The sequence below is a fragment of the Homo sapiens genome, chromosome 21 (assembly GCF_000001405.40).
Source record: "Homo sapiens chromosome 21, GRCh38.p14 Primary Assembly".
NCBI lineage: Eukaryota > Metazoa > Chordata > Mammalia > Primates > Hominidae > Homo > Homo sapiens.
Window position 1 is genome coordinate 10,759,859 of NC_000021.9, and position 15,570 is coordinate 10,775,428.

General features: G+C 38.1%; 5 annotated features.

Moving 5' to 3' along the window:
* Window positions 1,655-2,368: an enhancer, noted in NCBI's record as "OCT4-NANOG hESC enhancer chr21:10750231-10750944 (GRCh37/hg19 assembly coordinates)". NCBI's record gives its function as "activates a minimal SCP1, AML or CMV promoter by ChIP-STARR-seq in naive H9 embryonic stem cells {active_cell/tissue: H9 hESC(naive)}" and the evidence as "EXISTENCE:reporter gene assay evidence [ECO:0000049][PMID:30033119]".
* Window positions 2,369-3,081: an enhancer, noted in NCBI's record as "OCT4-NANOG hESC enhancer chr21:10749518-10750230 (GRCh37/hg19 assembly coordinates)". NCBI's record gives its function as "activates a minimal SCP1, AML or CMV promoter by ChIP-STARR-seq in naive H9 embryonic stem cells {active_cell/tissue: H9 hESC(naive)}" and the evidence as "EXISTENCE:reporter gene assay evidence [ECO:0000049][PMID:30033119]".
* Window positions 3,082-3,795: an enhancer, noted in NCBI's record as "OCT4-NANOG hESC enhancer chr21:10748804-10749517 (GRCh37/hg19 assembly coordinates)". NCBI's record gives its function as "activates a minimal SCP1, AML or CMV promoter by ChIP-STARR-seq in naive H9 embryonic stem cells {active_cell/tissue: H9 hESC(naive)}" and the evidence as "EXISTENCE:reporter gene assay evidence [ECO:0000049][PMID:30033119]".
* Window positions 7,985-8,803: an enhancer, noted in NCBI's record as "OCT4-NANOG hESC enhancer chr21:10743796-10744614 (GRCh37/hg19 assembly coordinates)". NCBI's record gives its function as "activates a minimal SCP1, AML or CMV promoter by ChIP-STARR-seq in naive and primed H9 embryonic stem cells {active_cell/tissue: H9 hESC(naive and primed)}" and the evidence as "EXISTENCE:reporter gene assay evidence [ECO:0000049][PMID:30033119]".
* Window positions 8,804-9,623: an enhancer, noted in NCBI's record as "OCT4-NANOG hESC enhancer chr21:10742976-10743795 (GRCh37/hg19 assembly coordinates)". NCBI's record gives its function as "activates a minimal SCP1, AML or CMV promoter by ChIP-STARR-seq in primed H9 embryonic stem cells {active_cell/tissue: H9 hESC(primed)}" and the evidence as "EXISTENCE:reporter gene assay evidence [ECO:0000049][PMID:30033119]".

Here is a 15,570-nt window from a genome sequence, read left to right on the forward strand (position 1 = left end):
ATCAAAAGAAAGGTTTAACTCTGAGATGAATGCACACATCACAAGTAAGTTTCTCACATTGCTTTTGTCTAGATTTTATGTGAAGTTATTTACTTTTCTACTATGGGACACAAAGTGCTCTAATTGTCCACCTGTAGATTCTACAAAAAGAGTATTTCCAAACTGCTCAATCCAAAGAAAGACTCAACTCTGTGAAATGAACTCACACATCACAAAGAAGTTTCTTAGGATTCTTCTGTTTAGTTTTTATGTGATGGCATTTCCTTTTCCAACATAGGATTCAGAGTGCTCCAAATGTCCACCTGCAGATTCTGCAAAAAGAGAGTTTCTAAAGTGCTCAATCAAAAGAGAGGCTTAACTCTGTGAGATGAATGCACACATTACAAAGAAGTTTCTCAGATTGTTTCGGTCTAGATTTTATGTGAAAATATTTCCTTTTCTATCATAGGCCACAAAGCACTCCAAATGTCTACTTGCCGATTCTACATAAAGAGTGTTTCCAAACTGCTGAATCAAAAGAAAGGTTCAATTCTGTGAGATGAATGCACACATCACAAAGCAGTTTCTCAGAATTCTTCTGTGTAGTTTTTATGTGAAGATATTTCCTTTTCAAACATAGGCCTTAAGGCGCTCAAAATGTCCACTTGCACATTCTATAAAAAGAGTATTTCAAAACTGGTCCTTTGAAAGAATGTTTCAGCTCTGGGAGATGAATGCACATATCACAAAGAAGTTTGCCAGAATGCTTCTATCAAGTTTTCATGTGAAGACATTTCCTCTTCTACCATAGGCCTAAAAGTGCTCCAAATGTCCACCTGCAGATTCTACAAAAAGAGAGTTTCAAAACTTCTCAATCAAAAGAAAGGGTTAACTCTGTGAGATGAATGCACACATCACGAAGAAGTTTCTCAGATTGCTTCTTTCTAAATTTGATGTGTAGATATTCCGTTTTTACCATTCGCTGCAAAGCGCACCAAATGTTCATTTGCAGATTCTAGAAAAAGAGTTTTTCCAAACTGCTCAATCAAAAGAAAGGTTCAACTCTGTGAGATTAACACACACATCACAAAGAAGTTTCCCAGAATTCTTCTGTCTAGTTTTTATGTGAAGATATTTCCTTTTCCACCACAGGTCTCAAAGTGCTCCAAATGTCCACTTGCAAATTCTATGAAAAGAGATTTTCAAAACTGCTCAACCAAAAGAAAGGTTTAACTCCGTTAGATGAATGCACACATCACAAAGGAGTTTCTCAGATTGCTTCTGTCTAGATTTTATGTGAAGATATTTCCTTTTCTAACATAGGCCACAAAGCGTTCCAAAAGTCCACTTGCAGATTCTACAAAAAGAGTGTTTCCAAGCTGCTCAATCAAAAGAAAGTTTCAATTCTGTGAGATGATCGCACACATCACAAAGAAGTTTCTCAGAATTCTTCTGTCTAGTTTTTATGTGAAGATATTTCGTTTTTCACCATAGGGCTCAAAGTGCTCCAAATGGCCACTTGCAGATTTTACAAAGAGAGAGTTTCAAAACTCCTCAATCAAAAGAAAGGTTTAACTCTCTTAGATGAATGCACACATCCAAGCAAGCTTCTCAGGTTGCTTCTGTCTGGATTTTATGTGAAGATATTTCCTTTTCTACCATAGGCCCCAAAGCACTCCAAATGTCCACTTGTAGATCCACAAAAAGAGAGTTTCCAAACTCCTCAATCAAAAGAAAGGTTTAACTCTCTGAGGTGAATGCACAAATCACAAAGAAGTTTCTCTGATTGCTTATGTCTAGATTTTATGTGAAGATAGTCCTTTTTCTACCGTAGGTGACAAAGCGCTCCAAATGTCCACTTGCAGATTCTACAAAAAGACAGTTTCCAAACTTCTCAATCTAAAAAATGGTTCAGCTCTGTGGGATGAACACACACATCGCATAGAAGTTGCTCAGAATACTTCTTTGCAGTTTTGTTGTGAAGATATTTCATTTTCCACAATAGGCCTCAAGGCACTCCAAATGACCAATTGCAAGTTCTACAAAAAGATTATTACAAAACTGGTCCATCAATAGAAAGGTTCAACTCTGGGAAATGAATGCACACATCACCAAGAGGTTGCTCAGAATGCTTCTATCTAGTTTTTATGTGAATATATTTTCCTTTGCAGCATGGGCCTCGAGGCGCTTCAAATGTCCACATGCAGATTTTATAAAAAGAGAGTTTTAAAACTGCTCAATCAAAAGAAATGTTTAACACTGTGAGATGAATGCACACAATAAGAAAAGCTTCCTCAGATTGCTTCTGTCTAGATTTTATGTGAAGATAATTCCTTTTCTACCATAGGCCGCAAAGCGCTCCACATGTTCACTTGCAGATTCTACAAAAAGAGTGTTTCCCATCTGCTCAATCAAAAGAAAGGTTCAACTCTGTCAGATGAACGCTGGCATCACAAAGAATTTTCTCAGAATTCTTCTGTCTACTTTTTATGTGAAGATATTTCCTTTTCTTCCATAGGCCTAAAAGCTCTCCAAATGTCCACTTGCAGATTCTACAAAAAGAGACTTCCAAAACTGCTCAATCAAAAGGAAGGTTTAACTCTGTGAGATGAATGCACATATCACAAAAAGTTTCTCAGATTGCTTCTGTCTAGATTTTATGTGAAGTTATTTCCTTTTCTACCATAGAACCCAAAGCACTTATAATGTCCCCTTGCAGATTCTACAAAAAGAATGTTTCAAAACTGCTCAATCAAAAGAAAGGTTCAAATTTGTGAGATGAATGCTCGCATCACCAAGAAGTTTCTCAAAATACTTCTGTCTAGTTTTTATGTGAAGACATTTCTTTTTCCGTGATAGGTCTCAAAATGATCAAAATTTCCACTTGCAAATTCTACAAAAAGAGAGTTTCAAAGCTGCTCAATCAAAAGAAAGGTTTATATCTGTGAGATGAACACACACTTCACAAAGCAGTTTCTAAGATTTCTTCTGCCTAGATTTTATGTAATGATATTTCCTTTTCTACCATACTTTGCAAACTGCTCCAAATGTCCACCTGTAGATTCTACAAAAACAGTGTTTCCAAACTGCTCAATCAAAAGAAAGGTTAACTCTGTGAGATGAACTCACACATCACAAAGAAGTTTCTCAGAATTCTTCTGTCTAGTTCTAATGTGAAGATATTTCCTTTTGGACCAGAGGCCCCAAGGCTATCGAAATGTCCCCTTGTAGATTCTACAAAAAGAGTATTTCAAAACTGGTCCATCAAGAGAAAGGCTCAACTCTGGGAGGTGAATGCACACATCACAAAGAAGTTTCTCAGAATGCTTCTATCTAGTTTTTACATGAAGCTATTTCCTTTTCCACCATAAGCCTCAAAGCGCTCCAAATGTCCACTTGCAGGTTCTGCAAAAAGAGAGTTTCCAAAGTTCTCAATCAAAAGAAACGGTTAACTCTGTGAGATAAATGCACACATCACAAAGAAGTTTCTCAGAATTTTTCTGTCTAGTTTTTGTGTGAAGATATTTCATTTTCCACCATAGGCCTCAAAGCGCTCCAAATGTCCACTTGCAGATTCTACAAAAAGAGAGTTTTAAAACTGCTCAATCAAAAGAAAGCTTTTACTCTGTGAGATGAATGCACCCATCACAAAGAATTTTCTCAGATTGCTTCTGTCTAGATTTTATGTGAAGATATTTCCTTTCCTACCGTAGGATGCAAAGCGCTCCAAATAGCCACACACAGATTCTACAATAAGAGTGTTTCAAAACTGCTCAATCAAAAGAAGGTTTAACTCTGTGAAATGAATGCACACATCACAAAGAAGTTTCTCAGAATTCTTCTGTCTAGTTTTTATGTGAAGATATTTCCTTTTCCACCTAAGGCCTCACAGCACTCCCAAAGTCAAATTGCAGATTCAACTAAAAGAGAGTTTCTTAACTGCTCAATCAAAAGAAATGTTCAACTCTGTGAGGTGAAAGCACACATCACAAAGAAGTTTCTCAGAATACTTCTGTGTATTTTTTATGTGAAGATATTTCCTTTTCCATCATAGGCCTCAATGCTCTCCAAAAGTCCACTTGCAGATCCTACAAAAAGAGAGTTTTAAAGCTGCTCAATCAAAAGAAGGGTTTCACTCTGTGAGATGAATGCACACATCACAAATAATTTTCTCAGACTGCTCTGTCTAGATTTTATGTGAAGTTATTTCCTTCTCTATCATAGGCCACAAAGTTTACAAATGTCCACTTGCAGATTCTACAAAAAGAGTGCTTCCAAACTGCTCAATCAAAAGAAAGGTTCAACTGTGCGAGATGAAATCACACACCACAAAGAAGTTTCTCAGAATTCTCCTGTCTAGTGTTTATGTGAAGATATTTCATTTTCCCCAATAGGCCTCAAGGCACTCCAAATGTCCACTTGCAGATTCTACAAAGAGAGTATTTCAAAAATGGTCCATCAAAAGAAAGTTTCAACTGTGGGAGACGAATTTACACGTCACAATGTAGTTTCTAAGAATGCTTCTTTCTAGTTTTTATGTGAATATATTGCCTTTTCCACCATAGTCCTCAAAGCGCTCCAAATGTCCACTTGTATATTCCACAAAAAGAGAGTTTCAAAAGTGCTCAATCTAAAGAAATGGTTAACTTTGGAGATGAATGCAAAAATCACAAAGAAGTTTTTCAGGTTGCTTCTGTCTAGATTTTATGTGAAGATATTTCCATTTCTACCTCAGGCCACAAAGTGCTCCAAATGTACACTTGCAGATAGTAGAAAAAGACTATTTCCAAACTGTTCAATCAAAACAAAGTTTCAACTCTGGGAAATGAATGCACACATCACTAGGAAGTTTCTCTGAATTCTTCTGTCTAGTTTTTATGTGAAGATATTTCCTTTTCCACCTTAGGCCTCAAGGTACTCGAAATGTCCACTTGCAGATTCTACAAAAACAGTATTCCAAAACTGGTCCTTCAAAAGAAAGTTTCAACTCTTGGAGATGAATGTACACATCACAAAGAAGTATCCCTGAATGCTTCTATCTAGTTTTTATGTGAAGATATTTGCTTTTCCACCATAGGCCTGAAAGCACTACAAATATCCACTTGCAGATTTTATAAAAAAAGTGTTTCAGAACTGCTCAATCGAATGAAAGGATTAACTCGGTGAGATGAATGCACACATCACAAAGAAGTTTCTCAGATTGCTTCTGTCTAGATTTCATGTGAAGATATTTCCTTTTCCACCATAGACCTCAAAATGCTCCAAATGTCCACTAGCAGAATCTACAAAAAGAGAGTTTCAAAACTACTCTATCAAAACAAAGGTTTAACTCTGTGACATGAATGTACACATCACAAAGTAGTTTCTCGTATTGCTTCTGTCTAGATTTTATGTGAATACATTTCCTTTTCTACCATAGACCATAAAGCGCTCCTAATGTCCACTTGCAGATTCTTTAAAAAGAGTGTTTCCAAACTGCTCAATCAAAAGAAAGTTTCAACTGTATGAGGTGAACACACACGTCACAAAGAAATTTCTCAGAATTCTTCTATCTAGTTTTTATGTGAAGATACTACCTTTTCCACCATAGGACTCAAAACGCTCCAAATGTCCACTTGCAGATTCTACAAAAAGAGAGTTTCAAAACTGCTCAATCAAAATAATGGTTAATTCTGTAAGATGAAGGCACACATCACAAAGGAATTTCTCATATTGCTTCTGCATAGATTTTATGTGAAGTTATTTCCTTTGCTGCTATACTCTGCAAAGAGCTCCAAATGTCCACTTGCAGATTCCACAAAAAGAGTGTTTCCAAACTGCTCAATCAAAAGAAAGTTTCAAAACTGTGAGATGAACACACACATCACAAGGTAGTTTCCCAGAATTTTTTTGTCTAGTTTTTATGTGAAGATACTTCCCTTTCCACCATAGGCTTCAAAGCACTCCAAATGTCTACTTGCAGATTCTACAAAAAGAGTATTTCAAAACTTTTCCATCAAAAGAAAGGTTCAACACTGGGAGATGAATGCACACATCACAAAGAACTTTATTGGAATGCTTCAATCTAGTTTTTATGTTAATATATTTCCTTTTCCACCATAGGCCTCAAAGCACTCCTAAGGTCCCCTTGCAGATTCTACAAAAGGAGAGTTTCAAAACTACTCAGTCAAAAGATAGGGTTAATTCTGTGAGGTGAATGCACACATCACAAAGTAGTTTCTCAGATTGCTTCTGTCAAGATTGTATGTGAAGATATTTCCTTTTCCACCGTAGGCCTCAAAGCGTTCCAAATGTTCACTTGAAGATTCTACAAAAAGAGAGTTTCAAAACTGCTCAATCAAAAGAAAGTTTTAACTCTGTGAGATGAATTCCCACATCACAAAGAAGTTTCTCAGGTTGCTTCTGTCTAGATTTTATGTGAAGATATTTCCTTTTCTACCATAGGCCGCAAAGCACTCAAATGTCCTCTTGTAGATTCTACAACAAGAGTGTTTCTAAACAGCTCAATCAACAGAAAGGTTTAACTCTGTGAGAGGAACGCTTATATCACAAAGAAGTTTCTCAGAATTCTTCTCTCTAGTTTTTATGTAAAGATAATTCATTTTTCACCAAAGGCCTCCAGGCACTCGAATTGTCCATTTGCAGATCCTATAAGAAGAGTATTTCAAAACTGGTCTATCAAAAAAAAAGGTTTAACTCTGAGAGATGAATGCAAACATCACAAAGAAGTTTCTCAGATTGCTTCAGGCTTGATTTTATGTGAAAATATTTCCTTTTCTACCATAGGCCGCAAAGAGCTCCAAATGTCCACGTGCAGATTCTCCAAAAAGAGTGGTTCCAAACTGCTGAATCAAAAGAAAGTTTCAACTCTGTGAGATGAACTCACACATAACAAAGAAGTTTCTCAGAATTCTTCTGTCTAGTTTTTATGTGAAGATATTTCATTTTCCTCCTTAAGCCTCAAGGTGCTCCAAAAGTCCACTTGCCGATTCTACAAAAAGAGTATTTCAAAACTGGTCCATCAAAAGAAATGTTCAACTCTGGGAGATGAATAGACACATCATAAAGTAGTTTCTCAGAATGCTTCTATCTAGTATTTATGTGAAGATATTTCCTTTTCTGCAATAGGCCTCAAAGCGCCCCAAATATCCACTTGCAGATTCTACAAAAAGAGAGTTTCAAAACTGCTCAATCAAAAGAAAGGGTTAACTCTGTGAGATGAATGCACACATCAGAGAGAAGATTTTCAGATTGTTTCTGTCTGGATTTTATGTGAAGATATTTCCTTTTCTACCTAAGGCTGCAAAGAGCTCCAAATGTCCACTTAGAGATTCTACAAAAAGAGGGCTTCAAAACTGCTCAAAGAAGGCTTCAAATCTGTGAGATGAACACACAAATCACCAAGAAGTTTGACAGAGTACTTCTGTCTAGTTTTTATCTGAAGATATTACCTATTCCACCATAGGCCTCAAAGCGCTCCAAATGTTCACTTGCAGATTCTACAAAAAGAGAGTTTCAAAACTGCTCTATCATAAGAAATGATTAACTCTGTGAGATGAATGCACGCATCACAAAGAAGTTTCTCAGATTGCTTCTGTCTAGATTTTATGTGATGACATTTTCTTTTCTACTATAGGCTGCAAAGCACTCAAAATGTCCATTTGCGGATACTACAAAAAGAGTATTTGCAAACTGCTCAATCAAAAGAAAGTTTCAACTCTGTGAGATGAACGCACACATCACAAAGAAGTGTCTCAGAATTCTTCTGAGTTTTTCATGTGACGATGTTTTTATGTGAAGATATTCCATTTTCCACCATTGTCCTCAAGGCACTCGAAATGTCCAGTTGCAGATTCTACCAAAAGAGTACTTCAAAACTGCTCCATCGAAAGAAAGGTTCAATCTGGGAGATGAACGCACTCTTCACAAAGAAGTTTCTTGGAATGCTTCTACTTAGTTTTTATGTGAAGATATTTCCTTTTCCACCATAGGCCTCAAAGAGCTCCAAATGCCGACTTGCAGATTCTACAAAAAGAGATTTTCAAAACTGCTCAACCAAAAGAAAGGTTTAACACAGTGAGATGAAAGCACACATCACAAAGAAGTTTCTCAGATGGCTTCTGTCCCGATGTTATGTCCAGATATTTCCAGTTCTACCACAGGCTTCAAATCACTCCAAGGTCCACTTGCAGATTCTACAAAAAGAGTGCTTTCAAACTGCATAATCAAAGGAAAGCTTCAGCTCTGTGAGATGAATGCACACCTCACAAAGAAATTTTACAAAATTCTTCTGTCTAGTTTTTATGTAAAGATACTTCCTCCTCCGCCATAGACCCCAAGTGCTCCAAATGTCCACTTGCAGATTCTACAAAAAGAGAGTTTCAAAACTGCTCAATCAAAAGAAATGCTTAACTCTGTGAGATGAATGCACACGTCACAAAGAAGTTTCTCAGATTTCTTCTGTCTAGATTTTATGTGAAGATAATTCCTTTTCCACCAAAGGCTGCAAAGCTCTCCAAATGTCCACTTTCAGATTCTGCAAAAAGAGTGTTTCCAAACTGCTCAATCAAAAGAAAGGTTCAACTCTGTGAGATGAATGCACACATCACAAAGAAGTTTCTCAGAATTCTTCTGTCTAGTTTTTATGTGAAGATACTTCCTTTTCTACCATAGGCCTCAAAACACTACAAGTGTCCACTTGCAGATTCTACAAAAAGACTGTTCCAAAACTGCTCAAACTAAAGAAAGGTTTAACTCTGTGAGATGAATGCACACATCACAAAGAAGTTTCTCAGATTGCTTCTTGTAGAATATATGAAAAGTTAATTCCTTTTCACCATAGGTCACAAAGCACTCAAAAAGTCCACTTGTAGATAATACAAGAGAGTTTCAAAACTGCTCAATCTAAAGAAAGGTTTAACTCTGTGGGATGAATGCACACATCACAAAGAAATTTCCAAGATTGCTTCTGTCTATATTTTATGTGAAGATATTTCCTTTTCTACCATAGGCCTCAAAGTGCTCCAAATGTCCACTTGCAGATTCTAGAAAAAGAGAGTTTCCACACTGCTAAATCAAAAGTAAGGTTCCACTCTGTGAGATGAGTGCACACATCACAAAGAAGTTTCTCAGAATGCTTCTTTCTCTTTATTATACGAAGATATTTCGTTATCCACCATAGGCCTCAAAGAGCTCCAAATGTCCACTTGCGGATTCTACAAAGAGAGTTTTTCAAAACTGCTCAATCAAAAGTAACGTTCAACTCTGTGAGGTGAATGCACACATCACAAAGATGTTTGTCAGAATGTGTCTGTCTAGATTTTATGTGAAGATATTTCCTTTTCTACCATAGGCCTCAAAGCGCTAGAAATGTCCACTTGCAGACTCCAGTAAAAGAGGTTTTCAAGCTGCTCAATCAAAATAAATGTTCAACTCTGTGAGATGAATGCACACATCACAAAGAAGTTTGTCAGAATGCTTCTGTCTAGTTCTTATGTGACGATATTTCCTTTTCCACCAAAGGCTTCAAAGCACTTCAAATGTCCAATCACAGATTTTACCAAAAGGGGGCTTCAAAACGGCTAAATCAAAAGTAAGTTTCAACTCTGTGAGATGAATGCACATATCTCAAAGAAGGTTGTCAGAATCCTTCTGTCTAGTTTTTATGTGAAGATATTTTCTTTTTACCATAGGCCTAAAAGTGCACAAAATGTCCACTTGCAGATTTTACAAAAAGAGTGCTTCGAAACTGCTAAATCAAAAGAAAGATTCAACTCTGTGGGATGAATGCACACATAACAAAGAAGTGTCTTAGAATGCTTCTGTCTAGTTATTATGTGAAGATATTTTGTTATCCACCATAGTCCTGAAAGTGCTCCAAATGTCCAATTGCAGATTCTACAAAGAGAGTGTTCTGGGAGGGGAAACAAGATAGCCAAATAGGAACAGCTCCGGACTACAGCTTCCTGTGTGAGTGACGCAGAAGATGGGTGATTTCTGCATTTCCATCTGAGGTACCGGGTTCATCTCACCAGTGAGTGCCAGACAGTGGGAGCAGGTCAGTGTGTGCGTGCACCGTGCACGAGCCAAAGCAGGGCGAGGCATTGCCTCACTCAGGAAGGACTAGGAGTCAGGGAGTTCCCTTTCCTAGTCAAAGAAAGGGGTGACAGACAGCACCTAGAATTCAGGTCACTCCCACCCGAATACTGCGCTTTTCCCACGGGCTTAAAAAACGCCACACGAAGAGATTATATCCCGCACCTGGCTCAGAGGGTCCTACGCCCATGGAGTCTCACTGATTGCTAGCACAGCTGTCTGAGATCAAACTGCAAGGAGGCAGCGAGGCTAGGGGAGGGGCGCCTGCCATTGCCCAGGCTTGCTTAGGTAAACAAAGCAGCTGGGAAGCTCGAACTGGGTGGAGCCCACCACAGCTCAAGGAGGCCTGCCTGCCTCTGTAGGCTCCACCTCTGGGGGCAGGACACAGATAAACAAAAAGACAGCAGTGACCTCTGCAGACTTAAATGTCCCTGTCTGACAGCTTTCAAGAGAGCAGTGGTTCTCCCAGCACGCAGCTGGAGATCTAAGCATGGGCAGACTGCCTCCTCAAGTGGGGCCCTGACCCCTGACCCCTGAGCAGCCTAACTAGGAGGCACCCAACCAGCAGGGGCAGACTGACACTTCACACGGCCAGGTACTCCTACAGACGTGCAGCTGAGGGTCCTGTTTGTTAGAAGGAAAACTAACAAACAGAAAGGACATCCACAGCAAAATCCCATCTGTACATCACCATTATCAAAGACCAAAAGTAGATAAAAACCCAAAGGTGGGGAAAAAACAAAACAGAAAAACTGGAAAATCTAAAAAGCAGAGCGCCTCTCCTCCTCCAAAGGAATGTAGTTCCTCACCAGCAACGGAACAAAGCTGGATGGAGAATGACTTTGACTAGCTGAGAGAAGAAGGCTCCAGACGATCAAATTACTCCGAGTTACAGAAGGACATTCAAACCAAAGGCAAAGAAGTTGAAAACATTGAAAAAAATTTAGAAGGATGTATAACTAGAATAATCAACACAGAGAAGTGCTTAAAGGAGCTGATGGAGCTGAAAGCCAAAGTTCAAGAAGTACGTGAAGAATGCAGAAGCCTCAGGAGCTGATATGATCAACTGGAAGAAACAGTATCAGCAATGGAAGATGAAGTGGATGAAATGAAGCAAGAAAGGAAATTTAGAGAAAAAAGAATAAAAAGAAATAAGTAAAGCCTCCAAGAAATATGGGACTATGTGAAAACACCAAATCTACGTCTGATTGGTGTACCTGAAAGTGATGGGGAGAATGAAACCAAGTTGGAAAACACTCTGCACGATATTATCCAAGAGAACTTCCCCAATCTAGCAAGGCAGGCCAACATTCAGATTCAGGAAATATAGAGAACACCATAAAGATACTCCTCGAGAACAGCAACTCCAAGACACATAATTGTCAGATTCACCAAAGTTGAAATGAAGGAAAAAATGTTAAGGGCAGCCAAAGAGAAAGGTTGGGTTACCCTCAAAGGGAAGCCCATCAGACTAACAACAGATCTCTTGGCAGAAACTCTACAAGCCAGAAGAGAGTGGGGGGCAATATTCAACATTCTTAAAGAAAATAATTTTCAACCCAGAATTTCATATCCAGCCAAACTAAGCTTCATAAGTGAAGGAGAAATAAAATACTTTACAGACAAGCAAATGTTGAGAGATTTTGTCACCACCAGGCCTGCCCAAAAGGACCTCCTTAAGGAAGCACTAAATATGGAGAAGAACAACCGGTACCAGCCGTGGCAAAATCATGCCAAAATGTAAAGGCCATCATGACTAGGAAGAACCTGCATCAACTAACGAACAAAATAACCAGCTAACATCATAAGGACAGGATCAAATTTACACATAACAATATTAACTTTAAATGTAAATGGACTAAATACTCCAATTAAAAGACACAGACTGGCAATCTGGATAAAGAGTCAAGACTCATCAGTATGCTATATTCAGGAAACCCATCTCATGTGCAGAGACACACATAGGCTCAAAATAAAAGGATGAAGGAAGATCTACCATGCAAATGGAAAACAAAAAAAGGCAGGGATTGCAATCCTAGTCTCTTATAAACAGATTTTAAACCAACAAAGATCAAAAGAGACAAAGAAGGCCATTACTTAATAGTAAAGGGATCAATTCAACAAGAAGAGCTAACTATCCTAAATATATATGCACCCAATACAGGGGCACCCAGATTCATAAAGCAAGTCCTGACTGACCTACAAAAAGACTTAGACTCCCACACATTAATAATGGGAGACTTTAACACTAAACTGTCAACATTAGACAGATCAACAAGACAGAAAGTCAACAAGGATACCCAGGAATTGAACTCAGCTCTGCACCAAGCTGACCTAATAGACATCTACAGAACTGTCCACCCCAAATTGACAGAATATACATTTTTTCATCACCACACCACACCTATTCCAAAATTGACCACATACTTGGAAGTAAAGCTCTCCTCAGCAAATGTAAAAGAACAGAAATTATAAAAAACTATCTCTCAGACCACAGGGCAATCAAACTAGAACTCAGGATTAAGAATCTCACTCAAAACCGCTCAACTACATGGAAACTGTACAACTTGCTCCTGAATGACTACTGGGTACATAACGAAATGAAGGCATAAATAAAGATGTTCTTTGAAACCAATGAGAACAAATACACAACATACCAGAATCTCTGGGACGCATTCAAAGCAGTGTGTAGAGGGAAATTTATAGCACTAAATACCCACAAGAGAAAGCAGGAAAGATCCAACATTGACACCCTAACATCACAATTAAAAGAAGCAGAAAAGCAAGAGCAAACACATTCAAAAGCTAGCAGAAGGCAAGAAATAACTAAAATCATAGCAGAACTGAAGGAAATAGAGACACAAAAAACCCTTCAAAAAACTAACGAATCCAGGAACTGGTTTTTTGAAAAGATCAATAAAATTGATAGACCGCTAGCAAGACTAATAAAGGAAAAAAGAGAGAATAATCAAATAGATGCAACAAAAAATGATAAAGGGGATATCACCACCAATCCCACAGAAATACGAACTACCATCAGAGAATACTACATACACCTCTATGCAAATAAACTAGAAAATCTAGAAGAAATGGATAAATTCCTTGACACATACACTCTCCCAAGACTAAACTAGGAAGAAGTTGAATCTCTTAATAGACCAATAACAGGAGCTGAAATTGTGGCAATAATCAATAGATTACCAATGAAAAAGAGTCCAGGACCAGATGGATTCAGAGCCGAGTTCTACCAGAGGTACAAGGAGGAAATGGTACTGTTCCTTCTGAAAATATTCCAATGAATAGAAAAAGAGGGAATCCTCCTTAACTCATTTTATGAGGCCAGCATCATCCTGATACCAAAATCGGGCAGAAACACAACCAAAAAAGAGAATTTTAGACCAATATCCTTGATGAACATTGATGTAAAAATCCTCAATAAAATACTGGCAAACCGAATCTAGCAGCACATCAAAAAGCTTATCCACCATGATCAAGTGGGCTTCATCCCTGGGATGCAAGGCTGGTTCAATTTATGCAAATCAATAAATGTAATCCAGCATATAACAGAACCAAAGACAAAAACCACATGATTATCTCAATAGATGCAGAAAAAGCCTTTGACAAACTTCAACACTGCTTCATCCTAAAAACTCTCAATAAAATAGGTATTGATGGGACACATTTCAAAATAATAAGAGCTATCTATGACAAACCCACAGCCAATATCATACTGAATGGGCAAAAACTGGAAGCATTCCCTTTGAAAACTGGCACAAGACAGGGATGCCCTCTCTCACCACTCCTATTCAACATAGTGTTGGAAGTTCTGGCCAGGGCAATTAGGCAGGAGAAGGAAATAAATGGTATTCAATTAGGAAAAGAGGAAGTCAAATTGTCCCTGTTTGCAGACGACATGATTGTATATCTAGAAAACCCCATTGTCTCAACCCAAAATCTCCTTAAGCTGATAAGCAACTTCAGCAAAGTCTCAGGATACAAAATCAATGTACAAAAATCACAAGCATTCTTATATACGAACAACAGACAAACAGAGAGCCAAATCATGAGTGAACTCCCATTCACAATTGCTTCAAAGAGAAAAAAAAAAATACCTAGGAATCCAACTTACAAGGGATGTGTAGGACCTCTTCAAGGAGAACTACAAACCACTGCTCAAGCAAATAAAAGAGGACACAAACAAATGGAAGAACATTCCATGCTCATGGCTAGGAAGAATCAATATCGTGAAAATGGCCATACTGCCCAAGGTAATTTACAGATTCAATGCCATCTTCATCAAGCTACCAATGACTTTCTTCACAGAATTGGAAAAAACTACTTTAAAGTTCACATGGAATCAAAAAAGAGCCCGCATCACCAAGTCAATCCTGAGACAAAAGAACAAAGCTGGAGGCATCATGCTACCTGAGTTCAGACTGTACTACAAGGCTACAGTAACCAAAACAGCATGGTACTGGTACCAAAACAGAGATATAGGTCAATGGAACAGAACAGAGCCCTCAGAAATAATGCCGCATACCTACAACTATCTGATCTTTGACAAACCTGAGAAAAACAAGCAATGGGGAAAGGATTCCCTATTTAATAAATGGTGCTGGGAAAACTGGCTAGCCATATGTAGAAAGCTGAAACTGGATCCCTTCCTTACACCTTATACAAAAATTAATTCAAAATGGATTAAAGACTTAAACGTTAGACCTAAAACCATAAAAACCCTAGAAGAAAACCTAGGCATTAACATTCAGGACATAGGCATGGGCAAGAACTTCATGTCTAAAACACCAAAAGCAATGACAACAAAAGCCAAAATTGACAAATTGGATCTAATTAAACTAAAGAGCTTCTGCACAGCAAAAGAAACTACCATCAGAGTGAACAGGCAACCTACAAAATGGGAGAAAATTTTCGCAACCTACTCATCTGACAAAGGGCTAATATCCGGAATCTACAATGAACTCAAACAAATTTACAAGAAAAAAACAAACAACCCCATCAAAAAGTGGATGAATGACATGAACAGACACTTCTCAAAAGAAGACATTTATGCAGCCAAAAAACACATGAAAAAATGCTCACCATCACTGGCCATCAGAGAAATGCAAATCAAAACCACAATGAGATGTCGTTTCACACCAGTTAGAATGGCAATCATCAAAAAGTCAGGAAACAACAGGTGCTGGAGAGGATGTGGAGAAACAGGAACACTTTTACACTGTTGGTGGGACTGTAAACTAGTTCAACGATTGTGGAAGTCAGTGTGGCGATTCCTCAGGGATCTAGAACTAGAAATAGCATTTGACCCAGCCATCCCATTACTGGGTATATACCCAAAGGAATATAAATCATTCTGCTATAAAGACACATGCACACGTATGTTTATGGTGGCATTATTCACAAGAGCAAAGACTTGGAACCAATCCAAATGTCCCACAATAATAGATTGGATTAAGAAAATGTGGCACATATACACCATGG